General features: G+C 38.1%; 1 protein-coding gene across 14 annotated transcripts in view; it reads right to left on the reverse strand.

Annotated features, from left to right (window-relative positions):
* Positions 1–1,932: 1,932 nt before the first annotated feature.
* The window catches only part of TMEM267 (transmembrane protein 267), a 40,136-nt gene continuing 19,281 nt past the window's right edge, over positions 1,933–22,787 (reverse strand). For 11 of the 14 annotated variants that reach the window (NM_001377396.1, NM_022483.5, NM_001377397.1 and 8 more), the window contains 2 exons: positions 11,339–11,724; positions 1,933–4,238 (listed from right to left, as the gene is read on the reverse strand). In NM_001377396.1, the coding sequence (NP_001364325.1) occupies positions 3,903–4,238; positions 11,339–11,650 (648 nt within the window). In that variant the 5' untranslated portion in view covers positions 11,651–11,724 and the 3' untranslated portion in view covers positions 1,933–3,902. Of the gene's footprint in view, positions 4,239–11,338; positions 11,725–12,135; positions 12,287–22,787 lie in introns of all 14 variants that reach the window. The other 3 variants (NM_001377394.1, NM_001377400.1, XM_047417516.1) reach the window with 1 other exon arrangement.

The raw sequence follows: 22,787 nt of genomic DNA on the forward strand, positions 1-22,787 counted from the left end.
TGTTGATTTGGGGCGGAGAGTTCTGTATATGTCTATTAGGTCAGCTTGGTGCAGAGCTGAGTTCAAGTCCTGGGTATCCTTTTTAACTTTTTGTCGCATTAATCTGTCTAATGTTGACAGTGGGGTGTTAAAATCTCCCATTATTATTGTGTGGGAGTCTAGGTCTCTTTGTAGGTCTCTAAGGACTTGCTTTATGAATCTGGGTGCTCCTGTATTGGGTGCATATATATTTAGGATAGTTAGCTCTTGTTGAATTGATCCCTTTACCATTATGTAATGGCCTTCTTTGTCTCTTTTAATCTTGTTGGTTTAAAGTCTGTTTTATCAGAGACTAGGATTGCAACCCCTGCCTTTTTTTGTTTTGCATTTGCTTGGCAGATCTTCCTCCATCCCTTTATTTTGAGCCTATGTCTCTGCAGGTGAGATGGGTCTCCTGAATACAGCACACTGATGGGTCTTGACTCTTTATCCAATTTGCCAGTCTGTGTCTTTTAATTGGAGCATTTCGCCCATTTACATTTAAGGTTAATATTGTTATGCGTGAATTTGATCCTGTCATTACGATGTTAGCTGGTTATTTTGCTCGTTAGTTGATGCAATTTCTTCCTAGCATTGATGGTCTTTACAATTTGGCATGTTTTTGCAGTGGCTGGTACCAGTTGTTCCTTTCCATATTTAGTGCTTCCTTCAGGAGCTCTTGTAAGGCAGGCCTGGTGGTGACAAAACCTGTCAGCATTTGTTTGTCTGTGTGGTGACAAAACCTGTCAGCATTTGTTTGTCTGTAAAGGATTTTATTTCTCCTTCACTTATGGAGCTTAGTTTGGTTGGATATGAAATTCTGGGTTGAAAATTCTTTTCTTTAAGAATGTTGAATATTGGCCCCGACTCTCTTCTGGCTTATAGAGTTTCTGCCGAGAGATCAGCTGTTAGTCTGATGGGCTTCCCTTTGTGGGTAACCCGACCTTTCTCTCTGGCTGCCCTTAACATTTTTTCCTTCATTTTGACTTTGGTGAATCTGACAATTATGTGTCTTGGAGTTGCTCTTCTCAAGGAGTATCTTTGTGGCATTCTCCACAACAGGGATTCTTAAGCCTGCCATTAAAGAAAGCTGGGCTTGGGGATGAGTAGAACATAGTTCAGTGGCAGAAGTTGTCCAGAAGCCAGCATGAATAACACAACTCAAGAAAAGAGAATGGTAGACTGGGAGGTTGGATCAGTGAAACAGCAAAGAGAGAAACACTAGGTGAAGGAAGTTAGTCTAGAGGATGGAGAAGAATGCACACGTGCAAATAAGGTACAATCTAACTTTCAATCACAACATTGTATTGACACAAATTCTTTCATTGTAAGCAAAAACAAAGTGCGGGCATGGGGAGGTGGTTGCTAGTTTTCCAGACATTACAATCACAACTTTTGTGGTCCATTTAGAGAAGGGGTCCCCAACTCCTTGGCTGTGGACAGGTACTGGTCCATGGCCTGTTAGTAACTGGGCCACAGAGCAGGAAGTGAGTGGTGGGTGAGCGAGCATTATCACCTGAGCTCTACCTCCTGTTAGATCAGCTCCAGCATTAGAGACCCATAGGAGCAGGAAACCTATTGTGAACTGCACATGTGAGAGATCTAGGTTGAAAGCTCCTTATGAGAATCTAATGCTGAATGATCTAAAATGGAACTGTTTCATCCTGAAACCATCCCCACCCCCACCCCGCCCCTGCCATCTGTGGAAAAATTGTCTTCCACCAAACTAGTCTCTCCAGTCTCTGGTGCCAAAAGGCTGGGGACTGCTGATTTAGAGGACAAGGAAGATTTCCGATGGTAGAGGTAGGAACCAAGATGAATCCACACATAAAATGTGCAGATTGTTTAAGCAAGGAGTTATGTTCAAAAGTGAATTCCCATTCTAATAAAGAAAAGTTATGACAACCCAAAAAATGCCTATGTAGCATTCTTATTTATTTATTTTATGTTTATTTTTTAAGACAGTCTCCCTCTGTCACACAGGCTGCAGTGCAGTGGCCCCATCTCAGCTCACTACAACCTCTGCCTCCCAGGTTCAAGCCATTGTCTGCCTCAGCCTCCCGAATAGCTGAAACTACAGGTGCACACCAGCACGCCCAGTTAATTTTTGTATTTTTAGTAGAGACGGGGTTTCACCATGTTGGCCAGGCTGGTCTCGAACTCCTGACCTCAAGTGACCTGCCTGCCTCGGCCTCCCAAAGTGTTGGGATTACAGGCGTGAGCCACCACGTCCGGTCACTATGTAGCATTCTTAAATAAGGCCCTATATTTTTAATAATATTTATTTGTTTAATATGAAGAAAGAAAAAGTAGAAAAGGTTTTGCAATTTAGTCAGGAATTGTTACACAAGATACAGACTTTATTTCCATGGATTTCTGAAGCCAGTGCTTAAAAAAAAAACTCTAATCAAATTTACCCCCACTATATAATATTTACCATTATACCAACCAAACTTATACAATAATTACTCTTGAAAAATAAGTAGACTGTAATATCTAATCAATTGCAAAATATAATAGATTGCAACCAATTTGTTAACAACAAGAAAAAAAACTCCCCTAAAGAGCTTGAACCTTCATAATAATTTACAGAATTCTGTTTAACTTAATATACAAGAAAATCTGCTGTGGATAAGGCATTGCTTTATGAACCCTCCATCTTTCCTCAGAGAATAAGGCACCAATCACTAACATTATAAATCACAAAAGTGTAAGAAAATCTGAAGACAGCAGATGCCATATATGCCACAAAGAAAAGCAGGTACCTTTAGGGCACTGACTTTAATAAACTGTGCAAATATAAGATGTATAGCAACTAAATTTTCCTTCTCTAATAAAGAGGAATCATTTTAATAGAAGATCAACCTGAAAGAAAAAGGAAAAAGCAAATTTCCTAAAACTTTATTTTGAAAAAAATATATGCTGTCTTTCAGTATCAGGCAGAGTAAAATATTTTAGAATAGTATATAAAATAGTATATAAACAAACTGATAGCAACTAAAATAATTTTAATGGTACATTCAGGAATTTACATTTGAAATGACATTTCTGGTCTTTTTTTTGCATAAATTCAAATGTTACGGTTATGATCCAAATATCAACATTTTGTTAATGTTACTTATTATTTTCAAAACAGTTAAAACTAACACACGAGATTCTAGGCTAGAGATACCAAAAAATACTACTTCAGTAAAGTGCTACTGTAGCCAACATGTTTTAATAATTATTTCCTAAATTAATTTCTGAAATAATAAGCTAGATCTAATGTTAGCTACTGGATATTATAATGATGTGTCACAAGTGCTCTGAAGGTTTTGCCAGTAATCATAACTCATAAAGCATTCTGCAAATTAAATTTCACTCAGGATCAACATATATGAAAATAAATACATGTTAGCATTAACTATACATTTGTATAGTTAAATGATTCATATCATTTATTTGGTGATTTCACTATTTCAATATCTCAGGAAAATTGGATCCAAATATAATGTTAACTCTTTACAAATTAGTTACCCTAAAATTTGAGCTGTTTTTCATTAGGAAATGGACTAAATTCCAGGTATATTTCCAGAAAATGAACTGGATGTTAATCTAAAAGAACTACTAGTAAAGCCAGATAAATAGAAAAAAACAGTAAAAATATATTGTGGAATAAATGAAACTCTAATATTGCACTAGAGTTGTCATAGAAGAGAGAAGTAGAATAATAACAAGTATAATTTTTAAAAAAGTTGTATACACTTCCTGAGCAAGAGGATTGCAGAATTATAATAACTAAATAATATAAACACCTAACTGTATTTTTAAAAATTAACTTTAATGTTGGCTACTCTTAATTATCATCATCTGAGCCATTTGCTTCTCTAAGACTGCCGTGTACCTCAGACATCAATACGAACTCCATGTTTTGAAGACATCATTTGTCTGGTTCCTGTTAAATACATAACGAATGAACAGATGTGAGGTAAAGATGATGTGATTATTACATAAAGCCAGAATGGCAAAGGAGAAGTTTTTCCAAATGGGCATATCCACAAACCATGACGAATCCCATCTCGGATATGATGTGAAGTCCAGGATATAAATAACATCCAGGGAAGAAAGCACCATGAGTCTTTGAGCTTGAAAAGGTGCATAGTAAATTTCAGGGTCAGAACCACAACGGGAATCACAGTAGAACAGTGAAGGAAAGGTCTTCGCGGGAGAGTCAAAGCAGCCTGAGGGAGCAAAGTAATAGCGAGTATCATTTCCTTTCTAGCAAAACAAAATTTTATACATGCTTCTTAATATTTTAAAATATTTTCCAGAGTCTATTGGACATGCAAAAGAAACATGTTCTATGCCACTTCAGGATACATATACCAAAATTATATATATATAAAAGAATATAAAAGTGTGAGCAGGATATCCTTTACATTAAAAATAAAATCAAGGTCTCAGGAATATGGTGATTAATTTTTTAAGTTTCCCATTATTTGCTTAGAAAATTCACAATATGAACATAATTTATAATCTAAGTGTACAGTTTGTGTAATTTGGAGTTTTATATAATTATCCAGGGCCTCTAAGAGCACTGTAAAAATATCTCACAACCAAATAAAATATTCTTTAGTTAAGGCAAAAGAGGGAAATATTTTTGTTATATCCATTTTATATTAGCTATAAACACTTTTGGAATTTATTTACAACATTTAGAAAAATTATATTATTTTAAATACGTATTCTAAAATTGAGTTAAATAAACTTCAGTAAATTTCTTTTTTTTTTTTTTAGGTGGAGTCTTGCTCAGTTGCCCAGGCTGGAGTGCGGTGGCGCAATCTCGGCTCACTGCAATCTCTGCCTCTTGGGTTAAAATTCTCCAGCCTCAGCCTCCCGAGTAGCTGGGATCATAGGCACCTGCCACCATGCCCGGCTAATTTTTGTATTTTTAGTAGAGACAGGGTTTCACCATGTTGGCCAGGCTGGTCTCGAACTCCTGAACTCAGATGATCCACCCACCTTGGCCTCCCAAGGTGCTGGGATTACAGACGTGAGCCATGACGCCCGGCAAACTTCAGTAAATTTCTAAACCACTACCAAAATGTATACTCAATATCTGAACCAATAAAAATTTCAGGCTTAATCCCTGAATGATTCATGAGTAGGGTTTTGTTCTCACCTGCTTTAAAGACTAATTTGCAGCGAGATAATCCCTAAACAAAAATAAAGCTGAGGATAGTTATGATTGTCTAAATCTGAATCTCTGCACATATCCTCTAAAAGTATTATAAAACATGAAGGACAAATAAAACTACACAAAATCTCAAACCCTCAGCATAAACAGAAGCCAGAGAATGCCCATATTTGAAATTACCCATAAGTATTAACATAAACACCAAATCAGTGGGTTCTCTCTCTCACACTTCCATCCAAGTCAGGAAAAACTATATTGAAGAGAGAAGAGGGGAAACCTAAGATTGATCTAAAATTACCACTAGGAAGTTCAGTTTAAGTGTGAAAATACTGAAGAGTGTCCTAGTAGGTCACAGCACTAACTGCAGGGAAAGGACTTAAGAGTGGACCTTCAAGACTCTGAAAGGTATTGATTCTGGGGGAGACGATGGTAAGAAAGGGAGAGACACTCTTTGGAGACTGGATGGTGAAAAGGAAAAGAAGTAGTAAAAGGAAGAAATGTAGTTTCCTGTCCAAAAAACACAAACAAAAATCAGACAATGTTCCGACCACATGAAAAAAAGTTACCTATTAAAGAGACTCTACCTTGTCCCACTGTCAAATCAGACCACCCTTGAACAAGGAATCCTATAAACCCTCTCCTCAAACGAGTATTCTTTACCTCTCACCTACGGTCTGAACATCAAAGAGTTTATTTTACGCTCCTCTTTCCCTGCCTTCTCCTCCACATTTTGTTTTACTTCTACTTCATCAGAACATGTACCATTTCTATATTATTATTCTACTTTTGTCTTCACCTTTGTTTTTAAATTCTATATCCACAATATGTTAAGTTCATCATTGGTCCTTTTGCTAACACTGCCTTAACCAAGAATATGTTAGAATAAAGAATCATGTAATATCATGAAATGAAGTGATAAAATAGAACAAATCTATAAAAAGCTAGTATAGGAGGAAAATCAGAAACAGAATAAAAATATCAAGCCAGGTGGAGTGGCTCACGCCTCTAATCCCAGCACTTTGAGAGGCTGAGGCGGGCTGATCACCTGAGGTCAGGAGCTCGAGACCAGCCTGACCAACATGAAGAAACCCCGTTTCTACTAAAAATACAAAATTAGCTGGGCATGGTGGTGCATGCCTGTAATCCCAGCTAATTGGGAGGCTGAGGTAGGAGAATCGCTTGAACCTGGGAGGTGGAGGTTGAGGTGAGCTGAGATCATACCGTTGCACTCCAGCCTGGGCAATAAGAGTGAAACTCTGTCTAAAAAACAACCCCCCCCCACAAAAAAAACTATCTCTTGAACCCTGTTCCTAGTAACAAATACAAAACAAAAAAAAATTTTTTTTAAACTACATAAAACATAAGAAAATTATATCACACGACTCCAAAGTACGTTAAATCTCAAACAACCACATGGGGACATAAAAAAATCTTGAATCAGAAATTCAAAAATGGAAAAAAAATAGATTAAAAAAAGATAATAATTGATTAAACTCAGTATGGAAAAAAAACAAAAACAATCTAATAAATGACTATATAGCAATGTATCCAAGGGAGAATAGGTCAAATGAAAGTTTAATAAGGCACACTGAAAAAATTAATACAAAAATTAGCTGGGTATGGTGGTGCATGCCTGCTATTCCAGCTACTCAGGAGGCTGAGGCATGAGAATCCCTTGAACATAGGAGGCAGAGGTTGCAGTGAGCTGAGATCACACCACTGCACCCCAAACTGGGCAACAGAGTAAGACTCTGTCTCAAGAAAGAAAAGAAAAAATGCAGGAAACCAACCAAGAGAATAAAAATGATATGAGGAAAAAAGTAAAAACAGTCAGGTAGAAAATAGCTGAAATAGAATACAGGCAAAAAGAAACAACATATGTGTAACTGAAGTCCCTAAAGAAGAAAAACAAAGAAATAGAATGGAACTAGTATTTAAAGCTATGATCCAAGAAAACGAAAAATAAAAATGCAAATCTATTAAAAGAGCCCATCTGAAAAAACTGACTCAATGATAAGCTTCAAGACAATTTAGTAGAGCTATTACTGTAATAATGATAAAAGAACAGTTTTTAAGCCCTCCACGCAAAAGATAAAATAACTTGCAGAGGCAATAGTATTACACTGGCATTGGATTTCTCCCCCCAACAAAAGCACTTTTATGTACTATAGTAATAAAGGTTTAGTTTATAATCCATATTAGTAAAATATAAATCATAGAACTGATTGGAAAGACTGGAGACACCTTTAATAGGAAGTACAACATTTTCAACAGGATGGGATTAAGGAGCCTATGGTAATCACTACTTGCAAGAAAGCAATAACCTGATGTTGAGTTATGCTCTGGATATGTTTACAGCCATACTGATTCTTTACACTCTTATTTGTGAATTAACATCTATTTATATTAATAGCTGCTAAAAAAGAAACTGGAAATTCTTGTTGTTGGCTGATGTCTAAAATATCAATGTAGCGTTTTTTTTTTTGTTTTTTTTTTGACAGAGACTTGTGCTGTCTCAAAGCCCAGGCTGGAGTATAGTGGCACAATCTTAGCTCACTGTAACCTCAAACTCCTGGGCTCAAGTGATCCTCTTGCCTCAGCCTCCTGATTAGGTGGAACTATAGGCATACACCACCATGCCGGGCTAGTTTTTTATTTTTTGTAGAGATGGGGTCTGGCCCTGTTGCCCAAGCTGGTCTTCAGCTCCTGGCCTCAAGTGATCCTCCCATCTCAGCCTCACAGTGTTGGGGTTACAGGCATGAGCCACTGCGCCTGGCCTTTGATTTTTTTATTAATAGAAAAACAATGAATAATGAAAGAAAATGGAATTATCATAGAATCATAGAAGTAAAAATAGATCACTGTCATGAATACTTATTCAGTTTTGATATTTATTACTGATAATCACATACCACCTTATGGTGGATGTAAAATATTTTAATACTTAATTCAAAAATAATGATTAATACTAGAACTATGCTGTACTTTATGTGCACTATCTCACTTGATCCTTATAACAACTCTATGTGGTAGGTAGCATTTTACAGCAGAGGAAACTGAGGCAGTGAGGCTAGTTACTTCCCCCATACTGTGCAGTTAATGAGTGGCACAGCTGGGATTTGACCCTGGGTCTAACTCTATAGTTCATATTCTTAACAATAGTGCTTCTAAGTGAATTAAAGGATAAATACGTTATGCAGCCTAAATGCTTTTAAAAATTATAATAGAATAAATTCTAGATGAACACATTTATGAATCACATATTTTATAATGTTTCATAGCTTATCCCAATCTCTAACATTTATTGTTTTTTTTGTTTTGTTTTGTTTTGTTTTTTTGAGACAGAGTTTCGCTCTTCTTGCCCAGGCTGGAGTGCAATAGTGTGATCTTGGCTCATTGCAACCTCCACCTCCCGGGTTCAAGCAATTCTCTTGCCTCAACCTCCCAAGTAGCTGGGATTACAGGTGCCTGCCACTATGCCCGGCTAATTTTTTTTTGTATTTTTAGTAGAGACGGGATTTCACCATGTTGGCCAGGATGGTCTTGATCTTTTGATCTCACCTCAGCCTCCAAAGTGCTGGGAGATTACAGGCATAAGCCACCGCACCCGGCCCATTTACTGTTAATATTTACCAGGACATGTCACTTATCATGCTTATTTAATCCTCACAACAACCCCACAAGGTAAGTAATGTTATAATCCACATATTACAGATGAAGAAATTAAAACTTAAAGAAGAAAAGGGAACTTAATTAAACTAAAGAGCTTCTGCACAGCAAAGGAAATAATCAATAGAGTAAACAGACAACCTACAGGATGGGAGAAAGTAGGGTTCATTTGAAAAAGGGCTCATATCCAGAATCTACAAGGAACTCAAACAACTCAACAAGAATAAAACAAATAACCCCATCAAAAAGTGGGCAAAGGACATGAACAGACATTTTTCAAAAGAAGACACAGAAGCAGCCAATAAACATGAAAAAATGCTCCATATCACTAATAATCAGAGAAATGCAAATTAAAACCACAATGAGATGCCATCACACACCATCAGAATGGCTATTATTAAAAAGTCAAAAACCAACAGATGTTGGCAAGGATGCAGAGAAAAGGGAACACTTATACATTGTTGGTGGGAATATAAATTAGTATAACCTCTATGGAAAACAATATGGAGATTTCTCAAAGAACTAAAAATAGAACTACCCTTTGATCCAGCAATCCCACTACTGAATAGCTTCTAAAAGGAAAATAAGTTATTATAAAAAACTTAATCATTGCCAGCCACAGTGGCTCATGCCTGTAATCCCAGCACTTTGGGAGGTTGAGGCGGGAGGATCACTTGAGTCTAAGAGTTTGAGACCAGACTGGGCAACATAGGGAGACCCTGCCTCTACAAATAATTTTTTAAAAATTAGCCTGGCATGGTGGCATGTGACTATGGTCCCAGATACTCAGGAGGCTGAGGTGGGAGAATTGCCTGAGCCCAAGAGGTTGATGCTGCAGTGAGCCGTGATCACACCACTGCACTCCAGCCTGGGCATCACAGCAAGACCCTATCTCAAAAAAAAAAAAAAAAAAGAAAGAAAAAAGAAAAGAAATCATTATATAAAAAAGACACCTGCACTTGTATGATTATGACAGCACTATACACAATAGCAAAGTCATGGAATTAACTTAAGTGTCCTTCAGTGGATGACTGGATAAAATGTGATTGATATATAATCACACCATGGAACACTACTTGCCCATACAAAATAATAAAATCGTGTCTTGTACAGCAACATGGATGGAACTGGAGGCCATTATCCTTAGTGAAATGATGCAGAAACAGAAAGTAAAAAAGACACACATGTTCTCACTTGTAAGCGAGAGCTAAACAATGGGTACACATGGACATACAGAGTGGAATAACAGACACTGGAGACTCCAAGAGGTGGGAGAGTGAGAAGAGGTGAGAGATAAAATACTATTTGTACAGCATTAGAGTGACAGGTACACTAAAAGCTCAGACTTTACCGCTATGCAATACATACACGTTATACAACTGTGCTTGTGGCCCTAAATCCATAAAAAAAAAAAAAAAAACTGAAGAAAAGAAAAGTACTCTACTAACACCAAACAACCAGGATTCAAACTCAAGTCTTCTCATTTCAATCTTAAACAAAATGTTATGCTAACTCTACTTATAGCACAAAAGTTTGTCTTTAATTAGCAATTACTGATTCTTTACTGATTAAGTTTCTAAATAAGTGAATCAATTTCTGAGAAATACCTGGTACTTGACGCATAATAGGAAAAAGTGAATATTTCTCATTCATTCCACAAATATTTCCTGAATATCTACTAGGTAAGCCAGGCATTGTTCTAGGCCAGGGGTGAATGAAACAGAAAGTCCTTGCTCTATGAGTTTAGATTTCTTTCCTGAAATGTTTATAGATCATAAGCACGTAAAATATAGGCAAATCTTCTGACATTTAGAAAATATTATCTGAACCAACATTTTAAGTTTAGTTCATTTGTGAACTATATAACTGAACTCCTGAATGCCTCAGTGAAATTCCTCAATTTCTTCACAAGGGACTGTGTTCTAGCCAGTCCAGTTGAAATACATGCCTTTCGCTCCAAAAGGGACTGGGAGAATTAATCTGTTCAAGTCATTCCTTAGGACTGGGAATCATCTTAAAGCTATTCAACTTTTATGGAGTACTTAGGAGCTGCATACTAACTGTAAAACATAAAGAATAAGGGGGAAATGTTAAGTGTGCTCCTGAAGAAAGTACACTGATACAGAAAGAACTAGGACAGCCTTGAGAATCACCCCTGTTAATTTAAACCGGTTTGCTAATACTTTCTTCAAGACCTGGCTAAACGCATCCTCTGTAAGCCAGCACTGAACTCTTTAGGTACAGTTCGTGGGTCTTTGCTCTATGTGAATCCATAGCAGTTTGTGATGGCAAATAATTTGATTAGCAACATGTCTGTGTGCATCTTTAGGCAAGTACTAAGTGGTCAAAAAGGTTACATGAATGTGCTTTCCTATTTTAAGACAAATCCTCTCTAGTTCTAAATGATGCTGTAAAGATCAGCAAAATAGTGCTAAGGAAATTAAAGATCAGAAAAATTAAGCCTATGCTTTTTACCTTTAAAGACATGGATCCAGCTAGAAAAAAGTGGTCTACATCAATAACAGAGGCTAAAAATCCAGCTAAAATGATTTCTCCAAAGTCAGTCTTCTTCTTGATTCCAGTGACTACCGCCCATGACCACATGCCAATTACACAATGTACTGCATTATCTGAGAGAGCACGAAGCCAGTCATTTTGCTGAATTGTGGAAAACTGAAGAAGTCTGTCAGCTACGAGGCAAAATGCCCCCAGACCAAGGCTGGAAATAAGAGATTCAGTGCTACAAGTCTGCAGTAAAGCATGGGTCTTTTCAGTCTCGGATGCCATGACAAACAATATGTTAGTATAGACTAAAAGCCATCAGGAATGAACAGTCTATTCTTGTTTACATTTCCAGCACCCTAAAGGAGAAAGTAGAGAAAAATATGAATGAAGATTATGGACTACCATATAATATTTAAACAAAACAGTATCAGCAATAATTTCACAAACATAAAACCAAGATGTAAATACTGGCAACTTTTACATGTTATATATAATATGTCACATAGCCCAAGGAGAATAGATTTTTTTTTTTTTTTTTTTTTTAGGAAGAGCAGGGTACATGGTATGTATCAAGGAGAATTTCAGAAAGCCCACCAACTGCAATCTATTGCTTTAAGGTCATCAAATAGATCTATCTCCCAGCTGTGTGTAGTACATGGTGGTGAATATCCGTTGGGTTTGTGTACCCAACAACTACTTTCCATACTTCTGACAACAGTAATCCCTTCCTTTGGGAAAACTTTCTCACATTAAACTCCAGAGCTCACCAATTAGAGTTTTCCATTTCCCTAATAATGGTGACTAATCTAGTAATGAAAGTGGTCCAGGCTGAGCCAATCAGATTCCTTTCCAAAATTTGTCTTGTGGTAGAGAAAGTTCCTCTTCTTGGAGGCCATGGGCTCCACTACACGAAATAGCCTAGGAAAATAAAATCCCAGAGAGACACAAAGGAGAAAGGCTAATAGAATCATGATGACAGTGAGTACTTATGTCCAACGTCTAAAGGTTCTCAGAGCTACCCTAGATCTTGCAGCTCCCCCTCCACTTCAATGAGCTACCCCAACATTTTCCCATCAAATCCCCTTTACATTTCTGATGCCTTGAACCAAATAACCTTAATTGATATAAAAATGCAATCATAATTCTATGCTGAGTTCTCACATGGCACAGAATATTGACATTATTTACCTAGCTAGAAAATATTTGTCTACCTAAAGTGTGACACATGAAGTTTTTTCTTTTACATTGTTTTGTTTTAATCCTGAGACTAAAGAATAACTGATTTATTGATAATGACTCAACTTCTATTACACAATAAAAGCTATACATAGCTCATTATATATATTCTAAAACTGCAGAGGACCTAGAAGAATAAAACAATTTTGAAAAACAGAAACTAAGTTGGAGGACTACTTATGCCATCTTATTTTAAGTTTCATTATAAAGCTACAGTAGGCTGGGCACAGTGGCTTACACCTGTAATCCCAACACTTTAGGAGGCTGAGGCAGGAGGATTGCTTGAGGACAGGAGCTCGAGACCAACCTGGGCAACATAGTGAGACACTGTCTCTACAAATAATAAAAAATTAGCTAGGCGTGGTGGTGCATGCCTGTAGTCCCAGCTACTTGAGAGGCTGAGGTGGGAGGATCGCTTAAGCCCCGGAGGTTGAGGCTGCAGTGGGCTGTAATCGTGCTACTGCATGCCAGCCTGGGCAACACAGAGACCCTGTCTTAAAAAAAAAAAAGCTACAGTAATCAAAACAGTGTAGTATTGGTATAATGACAGACATACAGACTAACAAAACAGAATACAGAGTGGGATCAGAAATAGAACCAAACATACCTAGTCAATTTTATTTATTTATGTATTTATTTTTTGAGATGGAGTCTCACTCTGTCACCCAGGCTGGAGTGCAGTGGTGTGATCTTGGCTCGCTGCAACCTCTGCCTCCTGGGTTCAAGCAATTCTCCTGCCTCAGCCTCTCAAGTAGCTGGGATTACAGGTGCCCGCCACCATGCCTGGCTAATTTTTTTGTTTGTATTTTTAGTAGAGATGGGTTTCACCATGTTGGCCAGGCTGGTTTCGAACTTCTGACCTCAAGTGATCCACCCACCTCAGCCTCCCAAAGAGCTGGGATAATAGGCGTGAGCCATCGTGCCCAGCCAATTTTTTTTTATTTAAGACAGAGTTTTACTGGAGTGTAGTGGCACAGTTATGGCTCACTACACCCTTTACCTCCCACGTTTAAGAAGTTCTCCTACCTCAGTCTCTTGAGTAGCTGGAGCCACAGATGTGTGTCACCATGCCTTTTTTTTTTTTCAAAGAGACAAGGTCTCCCTGTCTCTAGAGAGGCCTCGAACTCCTAGCTGGTCTCGAACTCCTGGCCTCAAGTGATCCTTGGCTTCCCAAAGTGCTGAGATTACAGGCATGAGCCATCATGCCCAGCCTGGTCAATTAATTTTTGATAAAGGTGCAAAGATAAATCAATGGAGGAAGAATATTCTTTTCAACAAATGGTGTGAGAACAAATGGATATCCATATGCAAAAATCATAAACCTGAATCTATATCTTACTCCATATACAAAAATTATCTCAAAATGAATCACAAACCTAAATGTAAATAAAACATAAAAAGATAAAATTTCTGGAAAAAAACATAAAGTATTTTTGTGTCCTTGGGTCACGCAAAGAGTTATTAGATAAAATACCAAAAGCTTGATCCATTAAAAAATTGGTAAGTTGAACTTATCAAAATTAAAAGCTTCTGATCTTTGAAAGACAATGTTAAGAGAAAGAAAAAACAATTTTTAAATCTTATATCTGATAAAGGACTTACATCCAGAATATATAAAGAACTCTCAAAACAGAGTAATAGGAAAACAAACCAATACAAAAATGGACAAAAGATGTGAAAATGGGTACCTACCATTGATGATATTCAGATAGCCAATAAGTATAAGAAATATGTTCATCACCATTAATTATTAGGGAAATGCAAATTTTAAAAATTAGATATCACACACCTGTTAAATGGCTAAAATTAAAGACTGACAATCCCAGATGTTGACAAAGATGTGGAGCAACCAGAACTCATACGCTGCTGGTCGGAATAAAAAACAGTATGACTATTTTGGAAAAACAGTTTTCCAATTTCTCAGAAAGTTAAACGTACTCTTACCATATAACCCAGTCATTCCACTTCTAGGTATTTTCCCAAAAGCTTATGTGTACACAAAGGCTTACACATGAATGTTCATAGCAGCTTTATCTGAATTTGTTCCAAGTTGGAAACAACTCAAATGTCCACAAACATGTGAATAAACAAAAGGTGGAATAAAAAGGAACAAACATGTGATACACATAAAAACATGAATGAATCTTGAAATGATTATAGTAAGTGAAAGAAGTCAAACAAACAAAAATTACACAGTTAAAACCCATAGAACTGTGCGACATAAAGGATGAACCCTAATATAAAGTATGGACTTTAGTCAAAAATAACATATCAATATTGGTTCCCTACTTGTATCAAATATACCACACTATTGCAAATATTAATAATGGGGAAAATGTATGCAGGGCAAAGGGCATCTATAAGAATTCTCTATAATATTGGCTCAATTTTTCTGTAAACCTAAAACTACTATTTAGGTTTATGTATTAGTCTGTTATTGCATGGAACTACCTGAAACTGGGTAATTTACAATGAAAAGAAGCTTAATTGGCTTACAGTTCTGCAGGCTGTACAGGAAGCATGGCTGAGGAAACCTCAGGAAACTTACAATCATGGTGGAAGGTAAAGAGGAAGGAGTCACGTTTTACATGGCCAGAGTAGAAGACTAAAGTGGAAGGTGCTACACACTTTAAACAGCCAGATCTCGTGAGAACGAACTCACTATCATGAGAACACCTAGGGGGATATCTGCCCCCATGAACCAGTCACCTCCCACCAGGCTCCTCCTCCAACACTGGGGATTACAATTTGACATGAGATTTGGGTGAGGACACAAATCCAAACCATATCAGTTTATAAAGTCTATTAATTAGAAAAACTTACAAAAACTTAAAAATAAAGTCAATTTATTTTAAAAAATTAAATAAATGAACCGCCAACAAATATTATAAATTTAAGTAATAGATGTACTGTAGTTCATTATATTTTTCTCTATTTTTCTGTATGTTTGAAATTTTCATTTAGAAATGTTTTTATTAAATTTATTTATTTTGAGGACAGGGTCTCACTGTGTTGCCCACACTGGAGTGCAGTGGCTTGATCTTGGCTCACTGCAACCTTGACTTCCTAGTCTCAGGTGATCCTCCCACCTCACCTCCTGAGTAGCTGGGACTACAGGCATGAGCCATCATGCCTGGCTATATGTTTCCATTTCTATTTATTTAATTTAAAAAATTCTTTCTTTCCTTAATTTTTGAGACAGGGTCTTGCTCTGTTGTCCAGGCTGGAGTGCAGTGGTGTGAATATGGCTCACTGCAGCCTCTATGTCCTGGGCTCATGAGATCCCCCTGCCTCAGCCTCCTGAGTAGCTGGAATCACAGTCACAGGCCACCATGCCTGGCTAATTTTTAAATTTTTTTGTAGAGATGGAATTTCACCATGTTGCCCAGGCTGGTCTGCAGCTCCTGGCCTCAAGCAATCTTCCCACCTCAGCCTCCCAAAGTGCTGGGATTACAGGCGTGAGCCACTGAACCTGGCCTAGAAATATGTTTTTAAAAAGAGTGCATAGTATAATTCTACTTATTTAAAAGTCTACAAAATACAAACTAATTTATAGTGACAGAAAGCAGATCCATGGTTTCCTGAAGACAGTAGAGGCAGGAATGATTAAAAAGGAGAATAAAGAAACTTTGGTAAGGGACGCATATGTTCATTATCTTGACTGTGGTGATAGTTCCATGGTTCACAGTTTCATACATATGTCAAAACGTATCAAACTGTATATTTTAAACATATACAGTTAATTACATGTCAATTATACTCCAACAAAGATGTTAAAAAGTTAGGAAGGTACACTTCATTGATTATAAAACAGCAGGCTTTTGTAAAAAAGGAGAAATATGAAAACAAGAAACTATGGAAATGAAAAAGTTGATTACCCAAATAAAAACTCAATGCAAAGTCTACTATGCACTGAAGGAATGCACAGTGGCGTGAATCTTTCAAACATCAAAATTAGTAAATGAGAACATTTGCAAATAATTTTTCCAAAGCTTAAGGGGAAAATATAAGACAAAGAGTTGGGCATTGAAAAAAAATTTCCAAAAATAAAGAGAAAACCTTTAGAGTTTCTATGTCAAAAAAAAAAAATTATCTTCCAAAGAAAGAGAATGTGATTATCATCAACCCTAAATGTCAGAATACTGTGAGGTAACATTTACAGAACTCTGAGAGAAAAAGATCATAGACTGTAGCATTCTAAGCATAGTTAAATTATGGCACCTATGTGGCAACTGTGAATTTTAAAAGTTTTGCCTTAGAAATTATACACCCATGTATGATTTTGGGGGGTAGGGGAAACTGAGCAGTAGAACTTCTCAATCTCTAGCAGGAAGGGAGACAAATAAAGAAAATTTGATCAATACAGCAAGACAGAAAAGAAAAAAAAGAAAACCTTACTTCCCTCCAGCTCACCCCCACTCTGCAAAAAGCAATAGGGACCAAATAAAATACAAATACCACAACAAATGTGAATGTGTTAAATTTCTCTATAAAGAGACAAACATAATCAGATTGGGGCAAAAGAAAACATCACTAAATTATTGTTCAAAACAAAACACCTCAAACAAAAAGTCTTCACAATATAGAAAATAAAGAGATGAGAAAATATATGTCTAAGAAATACAAACAAAATTAAGTAGCAATGGTAATATTAACTGCAAACACAGAATTCAAGGTAAAAATGATTAATTAGAACTGAAAAGGATAAAATATTCACATCACAGTAAAGTTCTATGGGGTAAGAGGATGCTTACATGTCAAACAACAGCAGCAAAAAATTAAGTGGTCAATAAAAGGCATAATCTGAATAATATAATTTATAAATTTTATTTCATACTCAGGTATACAACTTCATATGCTATGAAGCAGTGGTCCCAGTCCTTTTTGGCACCAGGGACTGGTTTTGTGGAAGACAATTTTTCCATGGACTGTGGAGGGGGATGGTTTTGCGATGATTCAAGTGCATTACATTTATTGTGTACTTTATTTCTATTATTATTACATTGTAATATATAATTAAATAATTACACAACTCAACATAATGTAGAATCAGTGGGAGCCCTTAGCTTGTTTTCCTGCATCTAGAGAGTTCCATCTTAGGATGGTGGGAGACAGTGACAGATCATCAGGCATTAGATTCTCATAAGAAGCACGTGACCTAGAACTCGCATGTGCAGTTCACAATAGGTTCACTCTCCAATGAGAAGCTAACGCTGCCACTGATCTGAAAGGAGGTGGAGCTCAGGCAGTAATGTCAGTGATGGAGAGTGGCTGTAAACACAGATGAAGCTTCACTTGCTAGCCTGCCGTTCACCTCCTGCTTTGCGGCCTGGATCCTAATGGGCCATGAACCTGTACTGGTCCATGGCCTGGGGGTGGGGACTCCTGCTATAAACAGTACACATTCTTTTCAAATGTTCACGGAACCCCCATAAAAGTTAACCACATATTTGAATTAGGGAGGCAGAGCAAAATAGCAGAATAGAAGCCTCCACCAATCATCCCCAAACACAAGTTAACAACTATCTACACAGAAAAAAAATACCTTCATAAGAACCAAAAATCAGGTGAGACTCATAGTACCTGGTTTTAACTTCACACCACTGAAAGAGGCACAGAAGGGATTAAAAAAAAAACAAAACACAGAAAAGCAAAAAACAGTCCTGAATCACTAAGGCCACCCCTCCCCTACACCCCAGAAGTGGCAGAGTGGGGCAGAGAGCATCTCTGGGCACTGAGGGAGGGAGAACACAGCAGTTTTGAGGCACTGAACTCAGTGCTGTCCTGTTAGAGCAGAAAGGAAAACCAGACTAAACTCAGTTGATGTCCAGCCACGGAGGGAGCATTTAAATTAGCCCAAGCCAGAGGGGAAATGCCCATTCCATTGGTCCGAATTTGAGTTTCTGCAAACCTCGCCACTGAGGGCTACAGTGCCCTCTGTCTCCAGGTAAACTTGAAAGGCAGTGTAGGCCTTAAGGACTGCAACCCTTAGGTGAGTCCTAGAGCTGAACTAGGCCCAGAGACAGTGGACTGCGTGGGCACATGACATACTGAGACCAAAGTTGGGGCAGCCAAAGGTATGCTGGCATCACCCTCACCTAACCCCATGCTGCACATCTTGAGGCTCCAAAAGAGACCCCTTCTTTTTGCTTGAGGAGAATAACAGCTCAACCACAGCAAGACAGGACACTGGTCAGAGTCATGAGGGCCCCATTCCAGGCCCTAGTTCCCAGATGTCATTTCTAGACATACTCAGAGCCAGAAGGGAAACCCCTGCCTTGAAGGACAGGACTCAAAAACTGGCAGCATTCATCACCTGCTAACTGAAGAGCCCTTGGGACCTGAACAACCAGCAGTGATACACAGGTACTACATCAAGGGCCTTGCGTGAGCCTCTGAGACTTGCTGGCTTCAGGTGAGACTCAGCACATTATCAGCTGTGGTGGCTATGGGAAAAAACTCCCTCTGTTTGACAAAAGCAGAGAGAAAACTAAAGGGGACTTTGCCTTTCACCTTAGGTATCAGCACAGGCATAGGAGGATAGAGCACCAAGTGAGCTCTTGGGGTCCCTGATTCCAGGATATGACTCTTGGATGGCATTTCTGGACCTGCCCTGGGCCACAGAGGAGCCCACTGCCCTAAAGGGTGGGTCTCAGGCCAGGCAGCATCCACCACAAACTGACTTAAGAGACCTTGTGCCTTAAGGGGCATTAGCAGTGTTCTGGCAGTACTCTTTGTGACCTGGGGTGGTGGTGGCTATGGAGTCAGGCTCCTCTGTCTTTGAAAAGGGGAGGGAAAAGTGGGAAGGACTGCATCTTGTGGTTTGAGTGCCAGCTCAGCTGCAGTGCAATAGAACATCAGGTAGACGTCTAAGGTTTTTGACTCTAGTCCCTGACTCCCAGATGGTACCTCTAGACCCACCCAGGGCCTGGGGGACCTCACTGCCCTGAAAGGAAGGACATAGGCCTGGCTGGCTTTGCTACTGGCTGATTGTAGAGTCCCAGGGCCTACAGCAAACATAGGCAGTAGCCAGGAAGTGAATATAGCAGGCATTGTGTGAGACCAAGTGCCATGCTGGGTTCAGGTCTGACCCAGCACAGTCATGGTAGTTGTGGCCACAGGGGTGCTTGGGTTACTTCACCCTAGCTTTAGGTGGCTCAGAACACAGAAACAGACTGTTTGAGGGAAAGTAAAGGAAGAGAACAAGAGTCCTAGCCTGGTAATCCAGAGAATTCTCCCATATCTTGTCCATGACCATCAAGGCGGTACCTCTATGAGTCTGCAAGAACCACAGCATTACTGGGCTTGGAGTGCCCTCTAAAGCAGATATAGTTTAGATTATAACACCAAAGTCCTTTCAAATATCTGGAAAACCTTCCCAAGAAGGACGGGTACAAATAAGCCCCGACAATGAAGCCTACAATAAATACCTAAGTCATCAATGCCCAGACACTGAAGAACATCTACTAGCATCAACACCATCCAGGAAAACATGACCTCACCAAATGAACTAAATAAGGCACTAAAGACCAATCTTGGAAAAGAAGATATGTGACTTTTCAGACAGAGAATTTAAAATAGCTGTGTTGAGGAAATTCAAAGAAATTCAAGATAACACAGAAAAGGAATCCAGAAGTCTATCAGATAAATTTAACAAAAAGATTGAAATAATTAAACAGAATCAAGCTGAAATTCTGGAGCTGAAAAATGCAATTGGCATACTGAAGAATGCACCACAGTCATTTAATAACAAAACTGATCAAGCAGAAGAATTAGTGAGCTTGAAGCCAGGCTATTTGAAAATACAGTCAGAGGAGACAAAAGGAAAAAGAATAAAAAACAATGAAGCACACATACAGGATCTAAAAAATAGCCTTAAAAAAGCAAATTTAATAGTTATTGGCAGAAAGCAGGAAAGACCCAAAATTGACACCCTAACATCACAATTAAAACAACTAGAAAAGCAAGAGCAAACACATTCAAAAGCTAGCAGAAGGCAAGAAATAACTAAAATCAGAGCAGAACTGAAGGAAATAGAGACACAAAAAACTTTTCAAAAAATTAATGAATCCAGGAGCTGGTTTTTTGAAAAGACCAACAAAATCGATAGACCGCTAGCAAGACTAATAAAGAAGAAAAGAGAGAAGAATCAAATAGATGCAATAAAAAATGATAAAGGGGATATCACCACTGATTCCACAGAAATACAAACTACCATCAGAGAATACTAGAAACACCTCTATGCAAATAAACTAGAAAATCTAGAAGAAATGGATAAATTCCTCGACACATACACCCTCCCAAGACTAAACCAAGAAGAAGTTGAATCACTGAATAGACCAATAACAGGCTCTGAAATTGTGGCAATAATCAATAGCTTACCAACCAAAAAAGGTCCAGGACCAGATGTATTCACAGCCGAATTCTACCAGAGGTACAAGGAGGAGCTGGTACCATTCCTTCTGAAACTATTCCAATCAATAGAAAAAGAGGGAATCCTCCCTAACTCATTTTATGAGGCCAGCATCATCCTGATACCAAAGCCTGGCAGAGACACAACCAAAAAAGAGAATTTTAGACCAATATCCTTGATGAACATTGATACAAAAATCCTCAATAAAATACTGGCAAACCGAATCCAGCAGCACATCAAAAATCCACCCCACCATGATCCAGCCCACCATGATCAAGTGGGCTTCATCCCTGGGATGCAAGGCTGGTTCAATATACTCAAATCAATAAACGTAATCCAGCATATAAACAGAAGCAAAGCCAAAAACCACATGATTATCTCAACAGATGCAGAAAAGGCCTTTGACAAAATTCAACAACTCTTCATGCTAAAAACTCTCAATAAATTAGGTATCGATGGGATGTATCTCCAAATAATCAGAGCTATCTATGACAAACGCACAGCCAATATCATACGGAATGGGCAAAAACTGGAAGCATTCCCTTTGAAAACTGGCACAAGACAGGGATGCCCTCTCTCACCACTCCTATTCAACATAGTGTTGGAAGTTCTGGCCAGAGCAATTAGGCAGGAGAAGGAAATAAAGGGTATTCAATTAGGAAAAGAGGAAGTCAAATTGTTCCTGTTTGCAGATGACATGATTGTATATCTAGAAAACCCCATTGTCTCAGCCCAAAATCTCCTTAAGTTGATAAGCAACTTCAGCAAAGTCTCAGGATACAAAATCAATGTACAAAAATCACAAGCATTCTTATACACCAATAACAGACAAACAGAGAGCTAAATCATGAGTGAACTCCCATTCACAATTGCTTCAAAGAGAATAAAATACCTAGGAATCCAACTTACAAGGGATGTGAAGGACCTCTTCAAGGAGAACTACAAACCACTGCTCAATGAAATAAAAGAGGATACAAACAAACGGAAGAACATTCCATGCTCATGGGTAGGAAGAATCAATATCGTGAAAATGGCCATACTGCCCAAGGTAATTTATAGATTCAATGCCATCCCTATCAAGTTACCAATGACTTTCTTCACAGAATTGGAAAAAACTACTTTAAAGTTCCTATGGAACCAAAAAAGAGCCCGCATTACCAAGTCAATCCTAAGCCAAAAGAACAAAGCCAGAGGCATCACGCTACCTGACTTCAAACTATACTACAAGGCTACAGTAACCAAAACAGCATGGTACTGGTACCAAAACAGAGATATAGATCAATGGAACAGAACAGAGCCCTCAGAAATAATGCCACATATCTACAACCATCTGATCTTTGACAAACCTGACAAAAACAAGAAATGGGGGAAGGATTCCCTATTTAATAAATGGTGCTGGGAAAACTGGCTAGCCATATGTAGAAAGCTGAAACTGGATCCCTTCCTTACACCTTATAGAAAAATTAATTCAAGATGGATTAAAGACTTAAGTGTTAGACCAAAAACCATAAAAACCCTAGAAGAAAACCTAGTCAATACCATTCAGGACACAGGCATGGGCAAGGACTTCATGTCTAAGACACCAAAAGCAATGGCAACCAAAGCCAAAATTGACAAATGGGATCTAATTAAACTAAAGAGCTTCTGCACAGCAAAAGAAACTACCATCAGAGTGAACGGGCAACCTACAAAATGGGAGAAAATTTTTGCAATCTACTCATCTGACAAAGGGCTAATATCCAGAATCTACAATGAACTCAAACAAATTTA

Source organism: Homo sapiens, chromosome 5 (genome assembly GCF_000001405.40).
Source record: "Homo sapiens chromosome 5, GRCh38.p14 Primary Assembly".
NCBI lineage: Eukaryota > Metazoa > Chordata > Mammalia > Primates > Hominidae > Homo > Homo sapiens.